General features: G+C 46.4%; 1 protein-coding gene across 14 annotated transcripts in view, besides 4 other annotated features; it reads right to left on the bottom strand.

Annotated features, from left to right (window-relative positions):
* NCK2 (NCK adaptor protein 2) overlaps positions 1-25,520 on the bottom strand; it is a 149,820-nt gene that overhangs the window by 6,595 nt on the left and 117,705 nt on the right. For 11 of the 14 annotated variants that reach the window (XM_017005105.2, XM_017005103.2, NM_003581.5 and 8 more), the window contains one exon: positions 5,629-6,350. The exons of the other annotated variants lie outside the window; for them this stretch is intronic. In XM_017005105.2, coding sequence (XP_016860594.1) covers positions 5,629-6,350 — 722 coding nt within the window. The remainder of the gene's footprint in view (positions 1-5,628; positions 6,351-25,520) is intronic. 14 annotated transcript variants of the gene reach the window in all.
* Positions 5,211-5,989: an enhancer, noted in NCBI's record as "H3K27ac-H3K4me1 hESC enhancer chr2:106498145-106498923 (GRCh37/hg19 assembly coordinates)". NCBI's record gives its function as "activates a minimal SCP1, AML or CMV promoter by ChIP-STARR-seq in naive H9 embryonic stem cells {active_cell/tissue: H9 hESC(naive)}" and the evidence as "EXISTENCE:reporter gene assay evidence [ECO:0000049][PMID:30033119]".
* Positions 5,990-6,770: an enhancer, noted in NCBI's record as "H3K27ac-H3K4me1 hESC enhancer chr2:106497364-106498144 (GRCh37/hg19 assembly coordinates)". NCBI's record gives its function as "activates a minimal SCP1, AML or CMV promoter by ChIP-STARR-seq in naive H9 embryonic stem cells {active_cell/tissue: H9 hESC(naive)}" and the evidence as "EXISTENCE:reporter gene assay evidence [ECO:0000049][PMID:30033119]".
* Positions 13,578-13,737: an enhancer, noted in NCBI's record as "active region_16335". NCBI's record gives its function as "activates an Ori minimal core promoter by ATAC-STARR-seq in GM12878 lymphoblastoid cells {active_cell/tissue: GM12878}" and the evidence as "EXISTENCE:reporter gene assay evidence [ECO:0000049][PMID:35858748]".
* Positions 14,288-14,407: an enhancer, noted in NCBI's record as "active region_16334". NCBI's record gives its function as "activates an Ori minimal core promoter by ATAC-STARR-seq in GM12878 lymphoblastoid cells {active_cell/tissue: GM12878}" and the evidence as "EXISTENCE:reporter gene assay evidence [ECO:0000049][PMID:35858748]".

Genomic DNA, 25,520 nt, shown 5'->3' with positions numbered 1-25,520 from the left:
TCCTCCTCCATTCCTGAAAGCTTATGTATTAATGCGATTTTCTTCTAAGCACAATAGTCATGAGGAAACGGGAGGGAGGGGCCTTGCTCCAGGTACTTTTGGTTCTTTAAACCTTAAAACTTCTCCTTATCTTTCACTTTGGACTTTATGAAATGATGAGGGTAGAAATGCCCTTTGTGTGATTCACCAGGCCTTCCACACAGACCCTGGACTGATCTCCAGCCACGCTGAAGTCTCCAAGCATCAATAATCTACACATCTCCTTCTACCCCCAGAGAGAGGTCACCCTGTTGGTTTCTTATCACAAGTTGTATCATTCTTTTCTTTTGGTAAAGACATGTTTTTCCCCTTTTACTTCTTTACAGAAGGCACTCTTCTGTCCACAGAAGTGGTTCATTTACCTCCCAAAAGTGAGAACAAATGGGTTAGAGGCAAATCGTGATCCACTGATTAATAGTTTCTCTGTTTTTATCTCAGAAAAACTGCCTTTCAGTTTTACCATTCTATTTGGTCACCTGCCCTAGTTGTCTAAGGTAGCCTTCTTTTAATAAAAATTACTCCTGCCTATACTTATGCTGCTAGCTGTCAGTTGACCCTATGTTCTTTGTTTTTACATCAGATTATCTCTTCCTTGCCCCAAGTGTGAAGAGTCTCACCAGCTTTTCCTATTCTCCTATCAATGTTCACTCTATAAAATATTTACTCCACAGGCCTGAAGCCAATCCACACTGACATGTTCAAATATTCATCTCATTAACTTTGGAAGTAATCTTATTTACATAAATGAAAAGTCAATCATCAACTACAGAGCAGCTGTCCAAGTCCCATCTACCTAATCTAGGCAAACGGAGCGTTCCCTGTCCACTTTCCAGTTAGTATGCATGTGTGTGGTTAGCCCTCCCTATCCCCAAATGTATTTCCTAAAGTCACATGTAATACCTCACCATATAGACCTGTAGAATATTGTCCTTGTTATTCTTTGTCTTTCCATAGTGTCATACCTGATGTGACTGAGTGATACATTTAAGTCAGAATTTTACCATATTACACAACAGTATGCAAAAGGGCTTGAATCAAGTGCATACTCCACAACGTAGTGGTTCTCAAATTGGCGCATCAGAATTATTCAGGAGTTCATAGGTTCTCAGGATTTGGAACAAAAAAAGGACTCAGAGGGCTTCTTCAAACCAAGGTTGCAGAGCCCTACCCCAGAGATTCGAAGTCAGCAAGCTGGGGCAATCTGCATTCTAGCAAGTTTGCTGGTGATGCTGGATGTTGTCTGTTTTAAAGGTCAGCATTGAAGAGCCAGCCAGAGTGAGAAGGCAGAGTCTTCAAGGGCTCTGGCCCATTTGAGAATCAGAATCAGGTGATGAGCACTAAACTTCCAGATAACAGCCTGTACTGCATGATCTTGCAGGCCTTTCCATCTTCAAGAGTTAAATATGCTTAAAATTAGAACTATTACAAAAATCCAGGCTTAAAACTTCCATTTGGTACTGGGCAAAAAGCCTGGCAATTAAAAATAACTTGTTATCTTTGAAACTGGAAAGATGCCTACAGGCACTGCTCACAGCAACCTAAGGTTAAGTCATCTTAACATTAACTCATTTATGAAGAAACACCATGGATCACGGAGCCTAACCATGAAACCCTGGAAGCAGCTTTCACATTGCTCTGACAATCTACCTCCTCCTAATTCATCAGCAGAAACACAGCAAATACAGCACGTTTATTTTCAAACTCTAAACAGTAAAAAACAAACAAACAAAAACACAAAAAAGCCCCCCAAAAAACTCAACAGAAATATACTTCAAGAGATAAATCCCACTCAACAAAAGCTTCAGTTCTAAATGAAGTTCAGCTTTATGACAATATTTTTATAATTCATGGAAATGTAGTATTATGCAGAAATGGTTTTAATAACAGCTGCAAGAATATATAAAACCACTAAGAATGCATCATAGGGATCAAGGGTTTTCAAAGTGTGGTCCCAAAAGCAGCAGCATCACCACCAAGAAACGTGCTATTAATAGAAATGCAAATTCTTGGGCCCCAGACCTCCTGAATCAGTACCATTTCAGGTAGGACCCAGCAATTTGTTTTAACAAGCTTCAAGGCAATTCTGATACACACTACATACAGTTAGAGAATCATTATTTAGAGAAATGGAATGATGAAATTGCCTGAAAATAGAGTTTTGGGTAAAAGTTATAATTTCTTTAAGAAATATTATAACTTTAAAAATACAGAAAGGAGCTATTCTATTTTATTTCCCAGCCAAATACTTTTCATATATTTTAAAAAAGAGAAATGAAACAAATATGTGCATTAAATTATCCTTAGCGAGACAGTTTTTCTCTACTGGAAAAAAAAGTACTGTATGACAAAAAATATTAGTATCTAATACTATTGCAGGACATAATAAATACATGATATCTTCGGGAACTAAAATCTTACAGAGGAAAATGGCCTCCCGCACTTGCAGGCCAGCTCTGCACCTTTTCCAACCATATCCTAGTTGTGATCTGTCATTTTCTGAACAAGCTTTACAAGGATGGGAGATGCAGCAATTAAGAAAATAAAATATTGACAACTTGTACAGTTTACCAGAAACCCAGTAAAGGGTTACTGTTCATTTTAAGTACAGCTTTCTAGCCACATCCATAGAATCAATGTGGACAAAATGTAATATAAAAGGATTTATAATGGACACACACAGGGTGAGTAGGATTTCTGAGTTTTCTGGATTTAAGCAGGTATGGCTCACAGGTGAAGGTATGATAACGAAATATGGAGAATAAGCAACAACAATGCATCACCTTTAGCTGCTAAGGATAAATGACAATTGTAGATGAGAGAGGAGAGCGAGGGAGGAGGAAGAAATGGAAGGACAAGCAGTAGGTACTGAAGTTCAGGACAGGAAAGAGGGTCCAAGAGGTTCGTTCGTTTGTTGGTTCACTGATTCATCTAACATATCCAACAGATACTTCTGAAATACCCAGCACTTACTGATAGTGGATAGTGTAGCATGTGGCAATGTTTGTCTTCCCTGAAATACGCACCCCTCAATATCGTCAAGCAAGGGTCTAGCTCATTTACACTGCAATCACTCAGGATATTTTATTGAAGATCCATTCCAAAAAAAACAGCTGTGCTTATCCAGAAGCCAGGCCTCATGTGATAACCTCAATTAAAGGCCCAGGCCCAAAGACTGCAAGAAAAAAAGGAAATTAAATAAAGATGCCTGACTGAGTCCTGCAGGGAGGCTGAACCCCTCAGAAACCTTTCCATCCTGGCATGCTGCGAAGGAATTATGTCAGATCATGAACCTAAGGGCTCTTGGTGGCCTAGTGGTGGCTGCGAAAGCCAGCTCTAACCTGAGAAATGCCAAAATGAGCAGGAAAACACATGGGGACGGGGGGAGGCAGTGGATGGTGGGAAAAAAACAAGCAAAGGACTTGTCCACTTGTCCACCAGGACAGGTCCCTGGTAGTCACAGATGACAGCTGAGAACGCCTTGGTTATGAACAGGAAATACAGCAAACCTGGCATGGTTCTGCTGTCAGGAGAAAAGAAGCCACACACACACCTCAGGGCTCTTGCAGAATCCCCATGGAACAAGGCATGCACACTAACAGCTGAAAATGGCCCGTGTCACGGCAAGATCCATCAGGACAAGCTGCCCTGCACAGCATCAGGCCACGTGGAACCTCAGACAAAGACGGTGCTGCTATGTGTGCAGAGCCGATGCAAGTCCCAGTAAAGCTCTTTCCGCCCTATATTCCTAGAATCATATATGTTGTTCCTTGACTTTCTAAGTTAGGAGAGAATGCAAAAAACCCTGAAAGGCCCCCATTAAAAAACTGTTAAAAGGAAATACAAACAATTCGTGCTTTAGTTCTTTAGAAAAAGTTAGCTCATTCTCTAACAATATAAGACAACTGAGACAGTGGGGTGCAGAGTTCTGAGATGAAACCCAGACAATGCATGCATCCCTCCTTATCCAAAGGGACTTGGTCCCTGAATTCAGACAGCAATGACCACCTGTGCATGTTCCACAGAAAAGCCATAGGTCCTCCCTAAGGCCAGCAACCCCGGAGAACACCTTTTTCATCTACCCTCTAAAGTCTTTCCTCTTTTCCCCAAATCTTAGGCAGAAAGAATAATGACTGGGACCAATGTCTCCACACTGCAGGACTTCCTTCTGAGAAGTCTCCTCAAACTCAAAAAATTTTAAGCCAAGATCATATTTTGTGCATTATACTTAGCCCTTAAGGACTCTGGACCAAGCACTTAATATTGTAATTGGTTTTCCAGCGCTTTCTCTAAGTTTCTGCTCGATTGAGTTAAAAGCGCTGCTGTCCTTAATTTGCTTAAGGCTTCAAACACGATCTAAAAGAAGTGGTGCACAGAGCTCTCGTCATGTGAGAACAATTCAATGTGATGTCTTGCCAGGAATGATAAACTCTGGTGACTTGATAAATCTCAGAGTTCAGATTTCAGATGAAGTTAGCTTTCAGCCTGGCATTCCCGTCCAAGCACATGTAAGGCTCCGCAAAATTGATGACACCATAAAGGAGTCCAGTTTCCACCACCACGATGCTCCGTCCTCAAAGAGAGCACATCCCAGTCGCCTCTCTCTGGAGGGCTTTGAATGCCTCTCTGATCAGTCAACAGGACCCTTGAATGAGCACTTATTCATTGTGCCAGTAATCTTTTCAGAGGACAGCAGTGGCAGCAGGTAGTACATACTTACTAGTCTTATAGCGTGCATTTAAAAATGAAATTGAAGCCTCCTAGAACCAATACAATTCAAATACATTAAACTCTATCTCCTAAATGCTTGTTTTGGAAGTCTCTCGATTGTAGAAGGTGTATTCGGAAAGACGTTTGCAAAACTGGTCGAGTATTTCCTTCACACACGAAAAGCCTGCCTTCTGGGATGCAGGCTTGACCCCATGCCTGAAACTCACCGCCCCCAGCCTGCCCACCGCTGAACTGGGTCTGCTGCCCCAGTCGAGTGGCCTCATATCTCCGACTCACTGCACACAAACAAAACTCATCTCTCCCAAGAACCCCTGTTTTCTTTTCAATTTATCTCGTAAGTGCTTTAAAAGCTTTTGAGAGATGAACTCAGTGGCGCTGCCTGCCGTGGCAATGACCTTGGGATTATATGGTTTACAAAGAGAAAGCAAGCAAACAACAAAAGGAGGTGTCAGAAACCAGCCACCAGTCTTGCAAAGAATGCTTTCTCTGGGACACAGACCGAATAGAAACAAAGTAAATCACTCGGGCCTTCTACGTACACAGAATGGGCAACCAGGAGAGAAAATGATGTTTGAGCCTGTGAAATACAAGAGGGGGAATCTTGGGAGAGAAGCAGAACCACCTCTGTGAGCTAAAAACATCTTTTTAGTTAATCTCCCACCTCCAGAAATGGACACCCACTATCCCCAAAACAGATGCAAGTAAATCACGGAGTAGCAAACATTATACTAAATTGCATTCATCTGCGTCTCCCGCTCTTTCTAGTGTACTCACACAATGTGAAAAGGGCGCGGCACACAGACCCACCGCGCAAGGCGCATTTACTGCCTGCAGCCGGAGCTGTGGGCGCAGCGCACTTACCGAGGACTCGCTGTCCCTAATGAGGAAGTCGCCCTCCACGCCCCGCTCGTTGAGGGCGCACTCGGCCTGGTGCCGCGTCACGTTCCCGTAGTACCACTCTCTGCCCGCGAAGCGCCCGCTGGACGAGGGCCCGGTGTAGCTTATCTGTGGGGCGTGCGCAGGGTGCAGGGCAGGCCCGTCACTGAGGACCACCACGTAGTTTTTGGGGACGAGGCCCACCTGGCCCCGGGCATTTTTGCATTTCCACCACTCGGGGTCGTTCTCCGGCTTCTCAATCACCTCCATGGTCTCCCCCTTCTCGAAGTTGAGCTCCTCCTCGGTGACTGAGCTGAAGGGGTACAGCGTCTGGACCACATGCAGCACGCGGGAGCCCTGGCCATTGCTCAGCGAGGCGCCCTTGCGCAGGCTCAGGAAGCTTGGGGACTCCGCAGCCGCCTCGTCCACCTCCTCCAAGACGTAGTTGGAGGGGAACCAGCCGATCTGCCCGTTGTAGCTGCCCCGCCACCAACCGTCGCTGCACTTCTCCATGACGGTGACGCGCGACCCCTTCACCAGGGACAACTCATCCTCCCGCTCGGCCACATAGGCGAACTTGACGAAGGCCGGGATGTTGAGGTCGTAGATGCGGTCGGCGCCGCTGCCATTGGCGGGGTACTCGGCGTCCGTGCTGGGCGTGGGGGACGCATCCCGCGCGCTGGTCTTCCTGCGCGTCTTGCCGAGGCCTGTGGAGACACAGCAAGGCTCAGTGGCGCAGGGCACTTGGGCACCACCACACTCCCTAGCCTACCGGGATTTCCACGCAGTTTCTCTGGCGGTTAAATACAAGGGGACGACACATGGACAGTGCTTACAAACTGTAATTACCATGAGAAAAATACGGTTGCTGGCAGCTGCCTCCTGTAGTTGCGAAGTTACTTAAAGTTGAGAATTAAATTGATCTATTTTATCCATAAAAACATGTCACAGGGCCAGCACAGTGGCTCACGCCTGGAATCCCAGCCTTTGAGAGGCCCAGGCGGGAAGATTGCTTGAGGCCAGGAGTCTGAGACCAGCCTAAGCAACATAGCGAGACCGTGTCTGCAAAAAAAAAAAAAAAAAAAAAAAAAAAAAAAATTAGCCACCTGTGGTGCACATCTGTGGCCCCAGCTACTGGAGAGGCTGAGGTGGGAGGATGGCTTGAGCCAGAGTTGAGACTGCAGTGAGCCATGATCGCTCCACTGCACTCCAGCCTGTGCAACAGAGTGAGGCCCTGTCTCTAAAACCAAAAAATGCGGGAATACCAGTGACACAAAAGATAACAAGAGTAGGTGGTTTCCTTCTGAAATAACCATTTTTAGAGCATCCCTGCGCCTCTCAGAAAAATAAAGTATAAATGCAGAGAAAATATCTTTTTCATTCCTAGAATGGGTGGGAAGTCAGACTAAATGAATTCAAAGACCCGTTAGAACTCTAAGACCATCCAGTCTTAGGGAACGCAGCCTGTATAACCTGCCCTGCCCCCAGCTGCCTTGCCGCTGCCTCCTCCACTCCTGGGACACTCACTGCCCCCACCCTCACCCCTGGGCAGCATAACAGCCCTACTGGGCAAAACCCATCATCTTCACCTTTCTTCTCTTCTTACAATCCTTCTCTTCTTTCAAAACAGCAGACTAATTTCCCACAACAGATTGTGATGAGTGCATTAGGAAAACTTAGCTGATACCTTCAATCGAAGGCAAATTTTTTCATACTGTGATTCAAAGCCCACTAGTGGATCATAAAAAATCACTTTAATGGGCTGCAACCAGCCTATAGGTATGTGTTGAATTTAAGGGAATAAAGTAGAAAATTTCAGTGCATCAAACACAATTACAGTAAGTACTGTTTCTTCAGTCACAGATACGAGTATCGAATCAGATTGAGAAACATTTCTTCCTGTGCATGAGGAAAAATGCTAGAAAAGCCCTAAGGTAAAAATGTTTTAACTGTGTTAAAATGCACGGAATTCCGGAACATTCTAGGAGAGGAAAGCATGTCAGCCCCAGAGCTGGGGACACACCCCACACAAGCAGACTGGCCCTTCCTCAGCTGTCCTGAGAGATGAGTGCTCCCACCACAGCTCTGCTTCGACCTCTACCTTAATCAGTGTGGAGGTTTAGTCATTTGTAGACTCCTCAAAATGACTTCCTCCAAGCACTTCCATGGGTAGCTTGTACCCCTTTCTCCTTTTCTTCCTTAAACTAGAGTAAAGGGCGATCAGTCCTAAGAATTACTTGTGCTTCTATGGCCTTGCTGAGTGGGCAGGAGGTGAAGAGGGTAAAAAGGCTGATTGTCCTCAATGGTGGAGAGCTGGGCTGCTGCCCCCCTCCCACTGCCACTACCCTGGGACATGTGCCCACGCGGCGCCAGGAGGCATGTGAGGCCACGTACGTTTCAGAGCAAATACACTGATTCATTTATGCTAATGGCCTCTGCCGTTTCTCTTTGTACCACATTTTATGCATGTGCATGGGAAACACAAGAGTAAGCCAGAATATTAGAACAGGTGAAACGCTTAGATTTCTACTTTGTGTTAACTTATATAAAAACACAAACCTCTAAATCTGAGAACTCATCCTTTCATAGGATTTCAAATGCAGGATGGTTCAACTACACAATGAAAGCACCATGATACCGCCACAGCTCCACAATCCAGAAGGCAGGCCATCCATGAAAGCAAACTTTTTTGTCCAGAAGGCAGTGGTGCCCGAAGCTCAACCAGGAAGGCCTCACGGCCTTATCAAAACAGCTAGCAAGCCGGGGCGTGAGGGCTACGCTGAGGCCAACTTTTATTGGCAACAATGATGTCAAGAAATAACATTGAACAATAAACTTTTAATAGACCTTTGCAAACATGTGAATTACAAAAGCTACTTGAGAAAAAACGCCTGTGGAAGAGCAGGTTTCGGAATATTCATCAGGCCATGAAGATAAAGGTGAAAAGATCAGCAAAAAAGACATTTGATAGTGGCCATCACAATACGTTATAAAGACACTTTATAACTGATAGACGAATATTCTACTTTAGTGACTTCTTTCAAAAACAAAATACAGTAATCTAATTAATACAGCCACTGAGTTCCTGAGACATACCAGGCAGCAAACTAGACTTTGGTGAGGGGTGAAATGAGCAGACAGGCATGCTTTCTGCCTGCATAGAGCTTATACTTCTCCATCAAGACTGGAACATTGCACATAGCAAGCATGCAGCGGAAATTTTACCTGTTTTGCTTGAATGTGATCTAAATAGTCTTTGGCGCAACTCAGAGGGTCAGTGCAGACTGACAGAGAGCTGCATGCTCTTAGTCAAATTACTTAATAAATGTCTCTCTGTGTACTGGTTTTCTTACCCCCCAAATGTGAACATACTAGTCTGCTCAGGGAACCATGATAAGTACCATAGACTGGGTGGCTTAAACAACAGACATTTATTTCCTCACAATTCTGGAGGCTGGAAGTCCAAATCAAGGTGTGGGCAGGGTTGGTTCCTTGCAAGGCCTCTCTCCTGGACCTGCAGATGCTGTCTTCTTCCTGTGTGTCTTCACATGGTCTTCCCTCTGAGTGTGTCTGTGTTCCAATCTCCTTTTCTTTGTGTTCCAATCTCCTTTTCTTATAAGAACACCAGTTAGACTGGATGAGGGCCCACCCCAGTGACTTCATTTTAACTTAATCACCCCTGTAAAGGCTTTGTCTCCAAACACAGTCCCATTCTGAGGTCCTGGGGATTGGGACTTCGTATGAATTTCAGGAAGATGCAATCTGGCCCATGACAGGCACCAGCGTTCAGCTGATGCTATAAAGCACAGGAAGTGCTCTGTGGATAACAATGATTACCCTTATTAACTAAGCTGTGGCTTTCTTGTTGCTCTGAACAATACTTTACCAAAAGAGGGCCAAAGTCCTCTTTAAAAACACTTGGCCATGATCCTACCAGTGTTGGATGGCCATCAAAATAGAAAGCCTGCCTGCCAGACTTTGACACCTGGGAAGCAAACACTCTTCCATGGGAGCAATGTTGTATGTAGCTGCTGGTGCAGTGAAATTCAAGAGGCAGGTGTCTGGAGATGGAGAGGGACCTGACTTTACTATGTTATCTAAACCCTCACAACAGTCCTGTGACAAAGTGGGCAACTTCTTAATTTGTGGAAATAAGGAAACTGAGGCTACAGGAGGTAAAGGAATTGGCCCAACATACCCACCAGTGATGTGGCACAGACTGTACTCCCAGTAAATTCCCATTCAATCCATAATAGTGAAGGAGCATAGTTCTGATAGCGGCTGGTGTCCAGAATGGTTTTTATGGAAAGCATTATCATCTGTAATATGATTTCTATAGGAAATGAAACTAGGACTCTGAATTGGGGTGCCAAGAATCTACTCCACTCCCTCCCTGCCTGCTTGCATGCCCAAGCAGAGAGAAACCTTTTCTCTTTCTCTACAGAATGAAGAGGCCCCTGTGTCTCCAGATGGAAGAGGGGCTGAGGTTCAGATAATGAAGATTTTGGATAAGAAGTGTAATACCAGTGACAGGCCAGGGCCCCAGAACAGCAGTTAATAGGTCTCAGCAGGCTGGAGGGGTACTGTGTGGGAAAGACGTCAATGGGACCAAGTTGCTGGGTTGCTGAGAAAGCAGGTCCCTTCTCCTCCCTGCACCCTGATCCTGCCCAATGGCCAGAGCCAGGGTCATCTAGAACAGAAGGGATGGGAGATCCTGAATGCTGGCATATGAAGATTTAATGTGTGCCGCCCTCCTGACTGCTAAGGATACCAGAGCAAGAAAGCTGTGGCCAGGGGGAGGGAGGGGAAGGGTGCCTGGGCAAGGTGTCTCAGTGGTAGGAGGAGGAGTGGGAAGAGAAAAATGCACCAAGAGTGCAGGTGGCCTTTCTGTGTGAGGATAATTAAGTAAACTGCAACCCTAGAGTCAGGAGAGCCTTTACATGGGGGCAGGCTTAGGGGACTCAGCGATCCCTTGTCCTTCTCCTCTTGCCTGGACTTCACCTGGAGCTGTGACCCCGCCAGGTGGCAGCCGGGACATCTCAAAGGGACGGTTTCTGCTGCAGAACAAGCAGGGATTCATGCATGTCTGGGAGACGGAGCACTGCAGCTGTGCGTCCAGACCGAGGGCAAGTCCCTGAGTGGTCCAGGCTCTAAGCGACTGCCTCTCTCTAATTCGAAGGCAAACTCATTACCTTGTAGGTAAAGAGGCGGCACCCAGATCCCAGTTTCCTTTCATTCTCTCTGTGTAGTTTTTCTACACATCTCCGCTTCATCGCCTCATCTTTCATTAAAGTAAAACCACCTACTGCTTCCAGTTGTAACAGAAGCACAATTTGAAGTCCAATGTGTGTTTAACAGGGTAACATGATTCTTTTCTCATAGAATTTTAACATATTTTCTCAACAAGACAGGCAAATCCTCATACCCACTTCTCAGATTTGGGCTGTCTTTAGCTACCATAATGAAACCATAGCCAACCAGAACATGGCAGACTGGAAGCCCCCATCATCCAGGGCCCCTGCTCACCAGTCTTTCTATGTTGCATTTTGGAAGAGCACATTCGCTAGCATGTCCCTGGAGCCTGCTCACCTTGGGGTCAACAGTGAACTCCAAAGCAGGCTGCAGGCCAGGTGGATCCTTCAGGGAGACGTGAGGTAGGTGGGTCCTCACCCATGCAGAACACCCAGACAGTTCCAATGCCTCCCATCCTGCCCTTACCGAGGCATGGTGTGCGGTCATGTGTTTTAGCAAGACTTGAGACAAGAGATGAAATGATGTGTTTTTCTTTCAATTCTCAAGTTAATCATAAAATCCTACTGCACAGAATTTACCTGGTTTTGAGCATTTTGGTTGGAGGTGTCACAGCAGCATGCTTTGGATAAATCATATTGCGATGATCATATCTAGAATGTGACCGTTACAAAACCCTTCCAATGGCTGGCATGCTGTGTATTAGATGAAGCAGCATTTTCTCACAAAGTAATGACTTTATCTACAGCTTGTTCAATAATGTATAAACTGCTATATCTTTGCATGAAAAAGAATGAAAGAATGAAAGTAACTAAAAAAAAAGCAAGATGCTGTTTCATAGACATGCTCAGCAGTGAGCAGGATTTTAACTCTTACACTGAAAAGCATCTCAAGCACTTTAAATCTATCATCATAAAATTACGGTGTTTAAGTTCTAGAAGAAACCTTAGAGATCTGATGGTATCTTAATTGGTTCAGGCGCCTATAACAAAATACTGTAAACCAACTGACTTATAAAGTAAAATTACAGACATTTATTTCTCACCATTCTGGAGGCTGGAAGCCCCATGTCAAGGCCCCAGGAGATTCGGTGTCTGGTGAGGGCCCATTTCCTAGTTCACAGATGGTGCCTCCTTGCTGTGTCCTCACATGGCAGAAGCAGCAAGGGTGCTCTCTGAGGTCTCTTTTATAAGGGCACGAATCCCATTCATGAGGGCATCAGTCTCATGACATAATCACCTCCCAATACCATCATATTACGGGTTAGGATTTCAACATATGAATGGGGGGAACACGATCTGAGGCAGCTTGGCCAGTTGCAGTTCAGTCTGCAGCAGCTTGGCCAGTTGTTCTCAGGCTGCTGCTGTGGGAAATGAGTCCCAGGATTCCATGTGTGTACAGCCCAGGGGACTGGGCGGGGCAGGAGACCCCGTACCGCCAGCACCTCCAGCAGCTGCAATGTTCTGTTTGCTCTACACAGGGGCCCTGGGTGCTTGACAGTGTGCTCCACAGATGAGACGAGTGACAGAGGCTTGGAGAGGCTGAGCATTTGCCTGAGGTCTCCCAGGCCAGTCAGCAGCCAGGTTGGAGGGCAAGGACACAGAGCTCCTGAGCATAGAGCTGCCCAAGATGGACAGCAAGGAGTGTGAACAAACTCCTTAACCAAGCTACCACCACAGGTGCCACATTAAAGACCAGCCACCAACTGTGCCATGACTTTATCTGCATTTCATAATAATAAAATAACATGTGTACTGCAGGTAATAACATTTGTCACTCAGTGAGCAGACAGAAAGTATAATTTTAAGTGGCAAATAGCTGACTTGGATTTAAAGGTAAACTATAGTTTCTGCTTTGGTGGTGATTTTGCAGCATCAAGCTACTGGATCTCTGATCACAAGTTTTATTTTTATTGATAATAAGCACATTTTAACTTTCCTGAATAAAATTACAGACATTAAAGATTGGGTCCTAATAAAAGCCTGAATATGTCATACATTATTAATGTCAGTAAATTTAAAGTCAAAATCTTTTATATCCCCTTTCAGATGAAGAGATGTTGTAACAGATGACTTTAAAACATGCTCTGCCTGTCATCTTCCAGCTGGAGTTCGGGAGATTTAAGCTGAAGCGTCAAACAAACTTGGTACTTTGGAAACATATTCAAGCCAATTCGTTTAGACGCGGTGTGCTCAAGTTTTGGGGGCTCTATGGCAAAATCATTTAATTTTTGCTACTGATCAGATGTGTAACATAAACCAAATTTAATCAGAAAACTTCCTTTTATTGAAAATGCTATTTTTGCTAAGAATCGAGATTATTGATCTGTGGGGGTTTCCCCCACTAGAGTCAGAACCTATTATTAAAGTCAGCTAAATATTACAAAAAGCTTTTATTAAATACTATGGAGATAAGATCTGATTATGGTATAAAGTGACCAAAGTACATTTCCATATAAGAGTCAGAATATAACTAACGTTCAGCTCAGCTTCTACAAGTTTTTGTGTTGCTGTATATTCATTTAATTTGCATCTACTTTTTTAGTTATGCTGCTAAGATTAGCTTCCACTATTCAGAGTACGAAGGGCACAAATTTATCATCATAATATTTCAATAGGTAAAGGGAAAAAACTCAAATTCACTCAACTTAAGGATTTTTTGAAAGGGCGGCCACATGAGATTAATGTCATGGTTCTATTGTCTTAATCTGTTCAGAACCCTTTGTCCCTTCTCTTAGTCAAACAAAATTCCTCTCTGTGAAGGGCCCCATCTCACCCCGAGCCTTCCCCCGCCTTTGCTGGCCATGGGGGAAGGCCCATGACTCATATCTGTGTGGTCAGGGCACTCCCGGGACCCTTGCTACAGTCATGGGGGAAATACCGTCCCTAGGAGGACATGGCCAGGGTTGCAGCAGCATCTGCCCACGCTGCAGAGGTTCATGTAAGGAGTGAAGGGCAGAGGTGAGCAGGGAGAGGCTCAGAGAGACAGGCCCCAACCAAGAGTTGCACCCCTGGATCCAATCGTACTTCCCAATCATCTGAGCCAACTTTTCGTTTTCTTTTTTTCCCCTTCAGTTACTTTTGAGTTGACTTTCAGTCTCTTCAATTAAGAGCCCCCAAAAAATAAAACCACCCTTCCCCCAGCCTCACTGTTCCTCTCCCCAACCATCCCCTTAAACGAGCCAAACTGTTGATTCCCATCTGAAAACGTGGTAAATATGGGTGAGCTGAAAAGAACACAGTGACCAAGGGTTTTGGGTGTGGGAGTGAGGGTGGTGGTGGCGGTGGATCAGCAGACATAATTCATAGCTGGGTGGCGTGCATGTTTCCTAAGCCTGGAGAATCTGGGCTTAAAATATTTACTGCAGGAGTAATAATGAGAAACCTGTGATGCTGGGAGGCCACATCCATTAGGCCTCACAGACCAACATGATGTAACCTCGATTTTCTGGGGGCTCTCAGAGTTGACTTAGGGTGGGCCCACATGAATTCACTGGGGCCAGTATCTTAGGCACAGTGGTCAGAGAACATCCTGAGAGTGGCTCATGAGAGTGGGACAGACTTTTGGGTACAAATCGATTTCAGACAAGGTCAAATTTAAGTTGGAAGAGACTCACGCACAAATGCCATCAGCTAGCTGCTTCAGCTGACACCCATTCCTTTTGTCATATGGAGGCTCAGACATGACACTGACTGCTGGCCAAAGATCATGGAACTGGGGGTGTGGGATATGGAAGGACAGTGACCTTTCCTGGCAGCCGGGTGAGGGCACCAGATGCCACTGGTCTGGCCCCAACCAGGGTCACAGCACACCTGCCAAGACAGGCAGAGGACAGGCGCTGCTAATGTCCACTTCCGGGAAGGGCATCAGAATGTACTCACTGCTCAACAGAGGTGTCCCCGGATGAAGGAGAAAGGGGACTCAGTTACTTTTTCAGAGATTTCTCCGAATCATTTCTGACTCCTCCCTAGCAACAAATGGCATTTAAGGTGCAAAAACTTTCAGTCAACTAACAGATCACGATGCTCTCCATTCCTTCCTGAAATGCTGTCCCTTGGCTCTGCCATGAATTTACACTAGAATACCTACAAATGCCACCTCTGGCTGTACCTCTTTCTTCATTTCTTCAGAGTTCTCAAGAAGGGTTCTTTGCTCATTTGTTGTTTAATGCTCAGCCTGAGGGAAAGTGTGAAGAACCTACCCAGCCTCCTAAACCTCACAGACTAGTGAAATAGAGAATCACTTACACAAACCCAAGTTGCAGATGACCAACGGTGACAATCGCAATAAAGAGGAGGAGGTCAGGGAGGACCTCCCTGAGCATGTCTCTTTCGGTCCCGCAGGACACGGAGGCGCTCAGGTGAGGACAGGAAGTACCCGTGGCAAGGAAGACAGGCTACACCACGGCTGTGAGCAGAAGGACTCAGAGCCATTCAGTGATGTGAAGGAGGTGTTAGGGCCACACTGTGAACAGCAAGGGCACAGGGCAGGCCTGGTGGCGGGGGGAAGGTAGCGGGTGACAGCGTGCAAGCAGCAGCAGGCACCTTCAGCTGATCCCGTAGCTGCAGAGAGGGATCTGGGCAGGGCAGGAGCATAGAGCTCTCCAGCTGAGGCTGGCAGAAACGTGTCGAGCAAAGCAAAAATATTCGTCAACTGACCTTTCTCTTCTAAGTGTCCTGCTGGCAGAAAATAATCTCACCATTAAGAACTGCGTACGTTTAAGGAAGAAGAAATTCTAAATTCCTGACCACCATGGAGAAAAAGCAGTAAATGTATTCTTGACAGCTTCCCCAGTCTTCCATGTCCCTTTTGGGCACCAATTTCCCTTGCACGAAATCTCAGCCCATCTCCAAAACTGTCCCTTCAGGTTCCTGTTGTTGTCAGGTGTCATGTAGTTTCCTCCCCGCTCTCTAAGGTCCTAATTGACCTTAGGAAGTTGACCCAGGAAACTTTTTACCTCTAGTAGTTTAGCTTTAGAAAACAAAAACCAGGCCGGGCACAGTGGCTGATGCCTGTAATCCCAGCACTTTGGGAGGCCAAGGTGGGCAGATCACTTGAGGTCAGGAGTTCAAGACCAGCCTGGCCAAAATGGTGAAACCCCGTCTCTACTAAAAATACAAAAAAATTAGCTGGGTGTGGTGGCATATGCCTATGATAGCCACTGGGGAGGCTGAGGCAGGAGAATTGCTTGAACCTGGGAGTCGGAGGTTGCAGTGAGCCGAGATCGCGCCACTGCACTCCAGCCTGGGCGACAGAGGGAGACTCTGTCTCAAAAAAAAAAGAAAAAAGAAAAACCATTATCTTTTTCAAAAGCTTAGCAAATCCCCATCTCCCTGAGCAGACTGCAGGCAACACAGCCCATGAGGAAACACCACTGGCCTTCCCTCCATGGTAAAATGAGGGTTGATCCCAAAGCGTGCGGAGCACCTTGATCAGTAACCAGCACTACAATAACGTGGCGCAGCGCCTGACAGCACCTTGCCTGTCTAAAGGCCTGTCTCCCGCAGGCTGTGGGAGCGCTCACTGGTGCTCAGCTCACCATCCTCCTCATCTCTCTGTATTTATCTCCTTGGGAAGGACAAACAAAGTCACCATCGTGGCCTCAGATCTGGGCATGGAGCAGGCATTCAATACACATCTGCAATTAATAAACCTCACTCGCTGTCTCATCACCCCGATTTCACACGCACTCATCGACCCTCCAGGCCTGTGTCTGCAGTGACAGGCACCTCCACTGCCAGGGGTGTGAGCGAAAGTAGGAGGCCAGGATCACGATGAGCAGACCTCCCAAGCACACAACACGCTGACCCTGCTCTGCAGCTATTTCTTCCTCCTTCCCTTCCACCAAGATCCTACGATGTGCTGGGCACTCACACACCCGTATGTCAGTGATGTTGCTCCTAGGGTGAAAGCACCGCTGTTACTGGCTGTGTCTGGTGGCTCTGTGGTACATTATTTCCTGAACCACCCTGAATTTCCCCAGACTGGAATAACTCCAGGATATTTACCTTTATTCTTTCTTTCTTTCTTTTTTGAGACAGGGTCTCACTGTGTCACCCAGGCTGGAGTGAGGTGGCGCGATCTTGGCTGCAACCTCCGCCTCCCAGGTTCAAGCGATTCTTGTGCCTCCGTCTCCCAAGTAGCTGAGATTGCAGGTATGTGCCACCACCCTGGCTAATTTTTATATTTTTAGTAGAGACGGGGTTTAACCATGTTGGCCAGGCTGGTCTCGAGCTCTTGACCTCAAGTGATCTGCCCACCTCGGCCTCCCACTGTGCTGGGAATTACAGGTGTGAGCCACTGTGCCTGGCCTGACTTTTCTTATTTCTAGGCATGCATACCCCATAATGAAACATTCTACTGTGCGCCATTCAAAATCCCCAAGTTCAGGAAGGGACTGCCACAGGATGGCAGGGAGGAAGAAGCCTCATGCCACAGAAGGGAGTTGCCATCCCTGAGGGAAACCCCAAGCAGCCACCCTGCCTGGGTGGGGGTTAGGGCTGCTGGCCCCCTGCCTCCTCAGCCTCCAGCTGGCTGCTCTCTGAAGGGGAGGGTAGGAGGAGCACCTGTAGGGCCCCTGCTTGGCCCCGTGGCACTGTGGTCTCACTGATGGACTTCAGCCCATACAGGTGGGGCCGAGTGTCTTCCAACATCTCTATGCGCAGGTAGTCCCTTTGCCAGTGGGTGGGCACACCAGGAACCAGCTCTGAAAGGGAGGTGTTGGGGCAAAGGACCCACCCTCCCGACCACCACATGGGTCCTTGTGTCCAGGGCTCTGAACCTGACTTTCCACTCCAGTCATAAGAAAGCCCATTCCTTTGTGAGCAGGCAGGCAAACAAAATGATAGAATATTTAAACCTGAAAAAAAAATGGTCTAAAAGTATAGAATTTTCTCACAAATGTGAATGAAAGTCAAATGGGAACACAGATGCCAATGAAGAGAATTAAAAATTTTTTTCATTATAATTTTTAATTAAAAATACATATTTAGTACCTCTCAACACATATACCAGATCCATGAGCCCAAGCGTTTTTGAATATGCAAAAGAGTGTACAAGACGCGGCAAGGATGAGACACGGCATTCTGGAGCACTGCTTAAAGTGTCAATCCACTGGCAAAAGTTCAGCACGCCTGCTGTTCTGCAGGACCACACCTGCTCAGGAAAGTGAAATGTGACGAATACACAAAAAGAGACAGCACATTCACGGGGGAACACGCAGGTGGCACGTGGTTGGCAAAGACACAGCCGAACCGTACTTGTGCCAGCTTCTCAGAACACTCTGGAGCCCAGCCTCTCTGCCTCCTCGTGCTTGGCTTTGGCACTTTCTGTAACATCTCTCTGCATCTACATGTCTTCATCTGTAACACAAGGAAACCCCTGGTACCCGTGGGGCTGTTATGAGGGCCCAGTAACTGAGGATGGCACTCAGCGGGGTGTTGACACGCAGCAGGAGCCCAGGTGATGGCTGCCATTGTGTTGTCATCCCCATACCAGTTCGCTGTTATGGCTAGGGACACATGCAGGATCCGGTGTGGCACTTTCTCAACAAGGTATGCACGCACCTCTATCCTCCCTAAAAAGCTCCAGAGGGGTGAGTCTCAGCTCACTTCGGCTCTCAGGGTCAGGAGCAGCTCAGATGTGAGGGCACGTATGAACAGGCTAGGGGGAGCACTGTGGGTCTATGAGAGGAGCCCCGTTTCCCAGGTAAGGGTGGGCAGCGGGGCTGGATCGTATGCTGCTTTGGACAAACAAACGTTACTGAGACATAAGTGCTCTGGAGCGCCTGGGTGCGGTCCACCTGTTCCGTGCTTTGGAGAAGGGCCTTGATGGAACTGGGCTCCAGCCTCCAAACCTGGGCTGCGAGGGGCCCACTCCTGGCCTTGCTGTGAGGCAGACTCATAGCCCTGGCCAAGTCGCTTGGCTGCCCCGGGCCTCGACTGCTTCATTTTCATAGAAAAGCGCTGAGCCAGGCTATCGCCTTTCCAGAATTCTACAGATAGTGCAAACTATCGATTAACTTCACTTTTTAAACGTAACTGTGTATAGCAGGCTTTGAAGAAGAAAAAGAAAACCCACAGTAGAAGCACAAGGGGATCAAGTGGTCCTCTTGGACACCACACAACCAACCTTTCTCGCCACTGAATGAAGTTTCTTAGCACAGCCGGTTAAACATTACAGATTTAGTCAACTTCAATTAGCAGCATTAGAACGAACTGCATGTTTACCACTAATTCATCTCTACTTTACAAACACCCACTTGTAAATTTCACAAATCAGACAATCAACAACTATGTTCCTTAAAAAAACAAAAACACAAAACCAAGCAAGATTCCCCATCAACAGCTGCCTCAGCACGGCCTGCTTCCAGGAAGGAACGCAGGCCACCCCAGCCTTTAACTTATGAACAGTTGCCCTCTGGGTGGCTCTCACAGCTGTGGGGGTCACTGAGGACAACCTGAGTGCGTGCCCAAAATCTGTGAATTCCCAAACGGAAGGGGAAGTTATAAAGAAAAACCCACATCAGCCTGGAGGAGTTGATCATAGGGACAGACTTCTGGGCAAAAACTGACATGAGTCAATGCAGGCTGATGTGCAGAAATACACCCAACTCCACCCATACTTGCCAAGGTCCATCGGTTACACCAAGGCAGCACGTGGGCCATGCAGGAGCCCTACAGATGCCCACCTGCTTGCAGGCAGGCAGCTTCACACATCAAGCCAGTAAACGAGCGCTCTCTCAGTAGCCTCATACCTGCTTCCAGGAAACAGACACTAAAATGGAATAGAGCAAAGGAACATTTTGGACATATGGATAGCACCTAAAAAAGAAAGCACACCGTATGGGTAAATGCAGACAGAAACATGCTAGGAAGATGGTTCTCTAATTCCCTGGCATATTTGGTTCACGTTTCTTTATTCGTAAACTTAAGACTCCCGCTTGAGTAACTCAAGTAATTAGTTAGGAAGGGGTGATCTTTAGGAAGCTGAAGCAGGGTGAGATCATCTTAGTAAGAAGCAACCAAGATGCCAGTTCCTGGGAAATGCTCTGCCTAATGTTTTGCCTTTCACCAGGACACGACTGGCTCTCACCCAGCCAAGCGCACACAGCAATGTGAATCCCACACACCCCACTGTGAACTCCACACCTGATTCTCCTTAGTATTCCAAGGGTACGGACCCCACCTTCACTTCCCAGGGTCTCTCCTGCCTTGTCCTCCATTAGAAATCTTTTTAGACAATCCGTGTCTATTTTCTCTCGAAGTATCCTCCCACTAATCTGTTGTGATTTGTTTTACATTTTTGGTTCTAAATACTTGGAAGCTAAAGATACACAAAAACAAACCCACATTTATTTTGGGGTGTCTGGCACCACAACTACTGCCGAAGATTCCATGTTATGTGGGCCCTTCCTATTATGAACAATCTTGCAAGACAGAATTTTAATGAATTCTAAATTCTGATACATTATATTTAATTCATGTTCATACAATGGTAAATTATACAACAGAGACATGAAAAGTAAACGTGAAGTATTAAATGCATCTCTGAAAACCCACAGAGTCCTTGTCTTAGCGTGATAAAGAGACGATAAACAATTTGTTGGAGAAGCGGAACATTTAAAATAGAATTAAGATAGCTGAATTTTCTTCCCCTTATGTTACATACAAACATTTTAAGGGGAACAGTTTGGCTTTGTACTGATTTGAAAGGAAAAAGTGGTTCCTTGGAGAGCGGCTTAGTTTAGAAAGCATGTCTGAATGGTATGTAGGATGATTAACAGGAATTTTCTCATTCCTGAAGAACATTCAACTCAGAAAAACAAACTACTTCTAAGACAAATGCACCATAAAGAATCAGCTTCTCCTTTTACATGACTCACAGAATATATAAGCCACACTGAGCATCCCAAGCACTCAACACCCAGGAAGCATATATACCAAAAATTACTGGGTACATCTCATTTCCAGCCTGTGTCAGGACCAAGTACCCTGTGGGAAAAGCCTGATGTTCTCTAGACCAGGGGTCCCCAACCCCCCGGGGCCACAGACCAGTACCTCTGTGGCCTGTTAGGAATGGGCTGCACGGCAGGAGATGAGCAGTGGGCTGGCGAGCATTACCACCAGAGCTCTGCCTCCTGTCAGGCGGTGCAGCATTAGATTCTCACAGGAGCGCAAACACTATTGTGAACTACGCCTGTGAGGGATCTAGCTTGTGAGCTCCTTTTGAGCATCTATCTAATGCTGATGATCTGAGGTGGAACAGTTTCATCCCGAAACCATCGCCCCCACCTCCTGCCACCATCCATGTAAAAACTGTCTTCCACGAAACCAGTTCCTGGTGCCAAAAAGTTTGGGGACTGCTGTTACAGATGAACTGCACTGTGACAGCTAGTACTGACAACAGCAAGAAGCCATCTGTGTAACAGGATCTTGATTATATACTTATATTAACACTGGGAAAAGAGACACAATGTCAACCGTGATTACTTCTGAGTGATAAGATCACGGAGCATTTGCTTTTCTCTTTTATGCTTTTCTATAGTTTCCAAATTTTAAAAGTAATATCCCAGCTGGCCACGGTGGCTCACGCCTGTAATCCCGGCACTTTGGGAGGCCAAGGTGGGTGGATCACCTGAGGTCAGGAGTTCGAGACCAGCCTGGCCAACATGGAGAAACCTTGTCTCTACTAAAAATACAAAATCAACTGGGTGTGGCGGCGCATGCCTGTAATCCCAGCTACTTGGGAAGCTGAGTCAGGAAAATTGCTCGAACCTGGTAGGCGGAGGTTGCGGTGAGCCAAGATATTGCCATTGCACTTCAGCCTGGGCAACAAGAATGAAACTCTGTCTCAAATAATAATAATAATAATAATAATAATATCTCTGTCTTTAAGAGTGAAGACAACTGATTAATAGTTTTATAAAACTCAGGCATTTCAGAGATTATGATTCTGAGGAATATCTGTTTGCAGAAAACTGTGCCATACAAAGAAACTGATGACAAAGATGCTGAAGATGACTCATGCGGCAGCGGCACATGTGTGCTGACAAAACTGCTCCCAGATTAAACTCAATTACGGAAAAGGAGTATACTCCTATGACACTCAGCTTCTCAGTTATTTTGATTAATGGCTCTTGCTCACCTCAACATTAAGGAACCAGGAAAAGTTACAAAGACGTGAATCCCTAGGGTCCAGGCAGAACTGGGGAACTGTTCCCTTAGCATTTTGGGGGCTAGCGCAAGGGCAGCAAATAACCTCAACAGTCGTGTGGGTGGGAGTCGCCAGTATTGATGCCTAGCAGGAACTGCATCTCCCTCCCACACCAATCAGCACCCCCAATTCCTGAGACTGAACAGCAATCACAAGAGGCAGAGTCAGGCCACACTGGGCTCAAATGTCAGTCCCAGCACGTACTGTGTGTTCTTGGGCACCTCACTTAACTTCTGAGTATCAGTTTTCTCACATGCAAAATGAGGCTATTATGATTTCCCTAGTAGGCTTACTGTGAAGATGAAATAAAAACATATTCGGGCACCTGGCAGGTACCTAGCACACTTTAGGCACTCGAGGAGAAATAATTATCACGGCCCATTTGCTGGGAAAACGCTTGTGAGATTAGTTTGGGGGACTTGGTTTAGGCTTTTCTACTGCATGAGCTTTCTGTTTGGCTTCAGGGTGGAAGCCACATACTCCTCAGCAGGGAGGTCAGGGAGCACTGATGCTGGCTGAGGGAGCCTGCGGCCCTGACACCAGCTACCAAGAGGCCTCCTGCTGGGGAGGGCTCTGGTGACCGCTTTTTAGTTGAAGGTACTCGTGTTATTTGGATGGTGTTATTCCAGTGTTATTCTTTCTAGTATTATTTGGATGGTGTTAACTGCATCTAAAGTCATCCATTTGCAGGGAACCGTGTGTGTGTGTGTGTGTGTGTGTGTGTGTGTGTGTGTGTGTGTGTACATGCACATGTGAGCTAGAGGTTACAGATCTTTCCCGTGGGTTCGGAGGGCCAAACTCATGTGTGAAAGGGACAAAGAAGAGAAGGCCAGGTCCAGTCTTTAACATGAGAGAAATTGAATGCCTGGCTGAGGTACCTAATCAGCTGCCTCAGAAGTGCCAGCTCTCCGAGGTAGGCCCTGGATTACATTATCTTTACACATCTGAAAATGAAAATTCACTGACATAAAGAAGTATGTCATAAGGATAACTGTGTACCTCCCAAGCCTGAGATTCACACCTGCAGCCTTCTCTGCATCCTACTGACGTCCCACCCTAACCTCAAACTCCACTACGCACCGTGGCTCAGTCTCCTCTTACTTCCCCCACTCTCTGGGTCACTGTTGGTCCTTCAGGCTGGAAACTCTTGAGTCATTCTAATACTTCTCCGAGGTGTTCCCCATCCAGTCAACAGAGTCCTAGGGGTTTTCCTTCAAAATCTTCCTTTTCTCTTTTGTCCTCCATCCCCACAGCTGAGCTCAGGGCTTGGGATGTCACCCTGGGTCACTCTCAGGCCCCGTCCCCCACCTCCCACTGCCAGGCTCAGGCCCTTCCAGTCGTGTCCTGAAGACAAGGATCAGGACCCCTGCCGGACACCCCAGCACTCATCTCCCCCTTAAGCCCTGTGGAAACCTCCGAGGGTTCTTTTTTCACACCCAGGGCCTTTACGGTGTGGCATGCCCCACCCCAGAGGCTGCCCCAGCCCTCTTGCTCACCCCAGTCCGGCTGGCTCGCCGATGGCCTTCCCCACACCTATGGGTTTCCGTCTTCACATCCTCACTTGCACTCTGCATCCCTCAAGTGAGACCCCACCCCCCCTCGCCAAGTCTCAACCCAGCTCAGAGTATTCTTCACATGAATGACTTCCTTCAGTTCTCAAAAACTTTATGAGACAAGCAGTCACGTATCCCGTTATACAGACGACGCAACTGAGGCTCAGAAGCTTCAGCGGCTTGTTCAAAGTCACTCAATGATTAAGAGCAGTAGGTGGCAAAGCCTGGATTTGAATGCAGGTGATCGAAGACTCCAGAGTCCTCCCTCCTGCCCACAATGCTACATGCTCTCTGAAAGCACAGGTGCCCGAGCTGCATAACTCAGCCCTAGTTTCCCATTGGACAGGAAGGGACAGTGCTATTGTTTGAATGAGGACTGTCCATCTTGTGCCAGTATTATTTTCCCGATTATATTACAAATACAAGCTTCAGAAAGTCAGGGACTAAGCCTTATCCTTCCTTCACATCCCGACCAGATGAAATAACATCTGACCAGGCTCCCCCTTCTGATCGGAACACACCCTATTACACTGTTGGGGTTGCTGCATCGTGTCTGCATCCCTGTTTCAAAGCCTTTGGTTACTGTTCTCAAAGGTCACTCACAGCAGAGAATGCAGTGGCTCAGACGGGATTTCCAAGGGATAGAGAAAGGGACAACTGAAGCTTAGACTCGGCTTCCACGAGAACCAGGCTGCTGCATTTGTTACCCACATTTCATTTCAGAGATGAACAGCTCTGCCCTTGTTGAGACCTGTGAGAATATTTATAATCACGATGACAGACCCACAATCCTATAATGCCGAAATGAGAATTTCCGATTTCCCAGCAATCACAGAGGCTGTGAGCCCAGGAGCTCAAAACAGCCTGGGGTGACCCAGCAAGAAGCAGAGATGGTTTTCACTTGCATGCTGGGGATATAGATATGATGAATAATTAGAGAAAGTTCTGAATCATGTACTGTTAGAACCATTCTGTGAAGCATCAGCTGGGCACGTTGACATCTGGTATTATTCTCATGTTCTAAGTCCAACTGCAGCAGATACTCGATGATTCTTTCTGGCCTCTTAAAGGCTTATGCCAAACTTAGGGCACTGCCCAGGCACAGCAGGGGAGCCCAAGTCTCCAGACTCCCAGCTACCTTTACGGCCTAGGGTAGTCTCTAAACCACTGCTGATATGTCTGCTTCTTTTAGTGCACAGGAAAATTACAAAAACGGCGCAAAAAACATTATTTTCCCCAAGCCATTTGAGACTAAGCTGCCAAGACGATGTTCCATTACCCGAATACTTTATGTGTATTTCCACAAATAAGGGCATTCATCAAAATCAGTAAATTTATATCAATACATGACTATCACCTCACCCTTGAACCCCTTCAAGGCTTGCTAGTTACTCCCGAGGTTTCTCATTTCTAAAACAAAGAACTTGGTATAATTCTGACTCTGGGACAGAGTCCCCCCAAACGTACAAAGCGGCCTACCACTAAATCCAGATAGTCAATTTGGTAGAGGAAAAATAATTCAGATTAGATCTGAAGTCCCCTCTGGGTCTCGTACCTGTGACTGCTGTGTTCTCAGGCTTCATTTTTTCATCTGTGATTAGTAACACTACTGAGGCTGGCCTGGGGTGCTATTACATATTTTCATATGAACTGGACATTTTCATAAATTTATGTACCATGTAACTAAAATCTTGCTTGACTACTCGACTAACCTGGGTCTTTTGATCTAAGTAAAATCAGCATGCTTAGTATGAAGCACAGGCTCAAGACCGACCCCCTTCCCACTAGTCTGAAGCCCTCTAATTCTTCCTAGACATAATTCTAGAGTCTTTACCACTGATATAAAAAAATGCCTGTAAG

This window comes from Homo sapiens, chromosome 2 (assembly GCF_000001405.40).
Source record: "Homo sapiens chromosome 2, GRCh38.p14 Primary Assembly".
In the NCBI taxonomy this organism is placed as follows: domain Eukaryota; kingdom Metazoa; phylum Chordata; class Mammalia; order Primates; family Hominidae; genus Homo; species Homo sapiens.
Note: the sequence above shows the minus strand (reverse complement) of the source record. Positions and strands in the feature narration are given on the sequence as shown.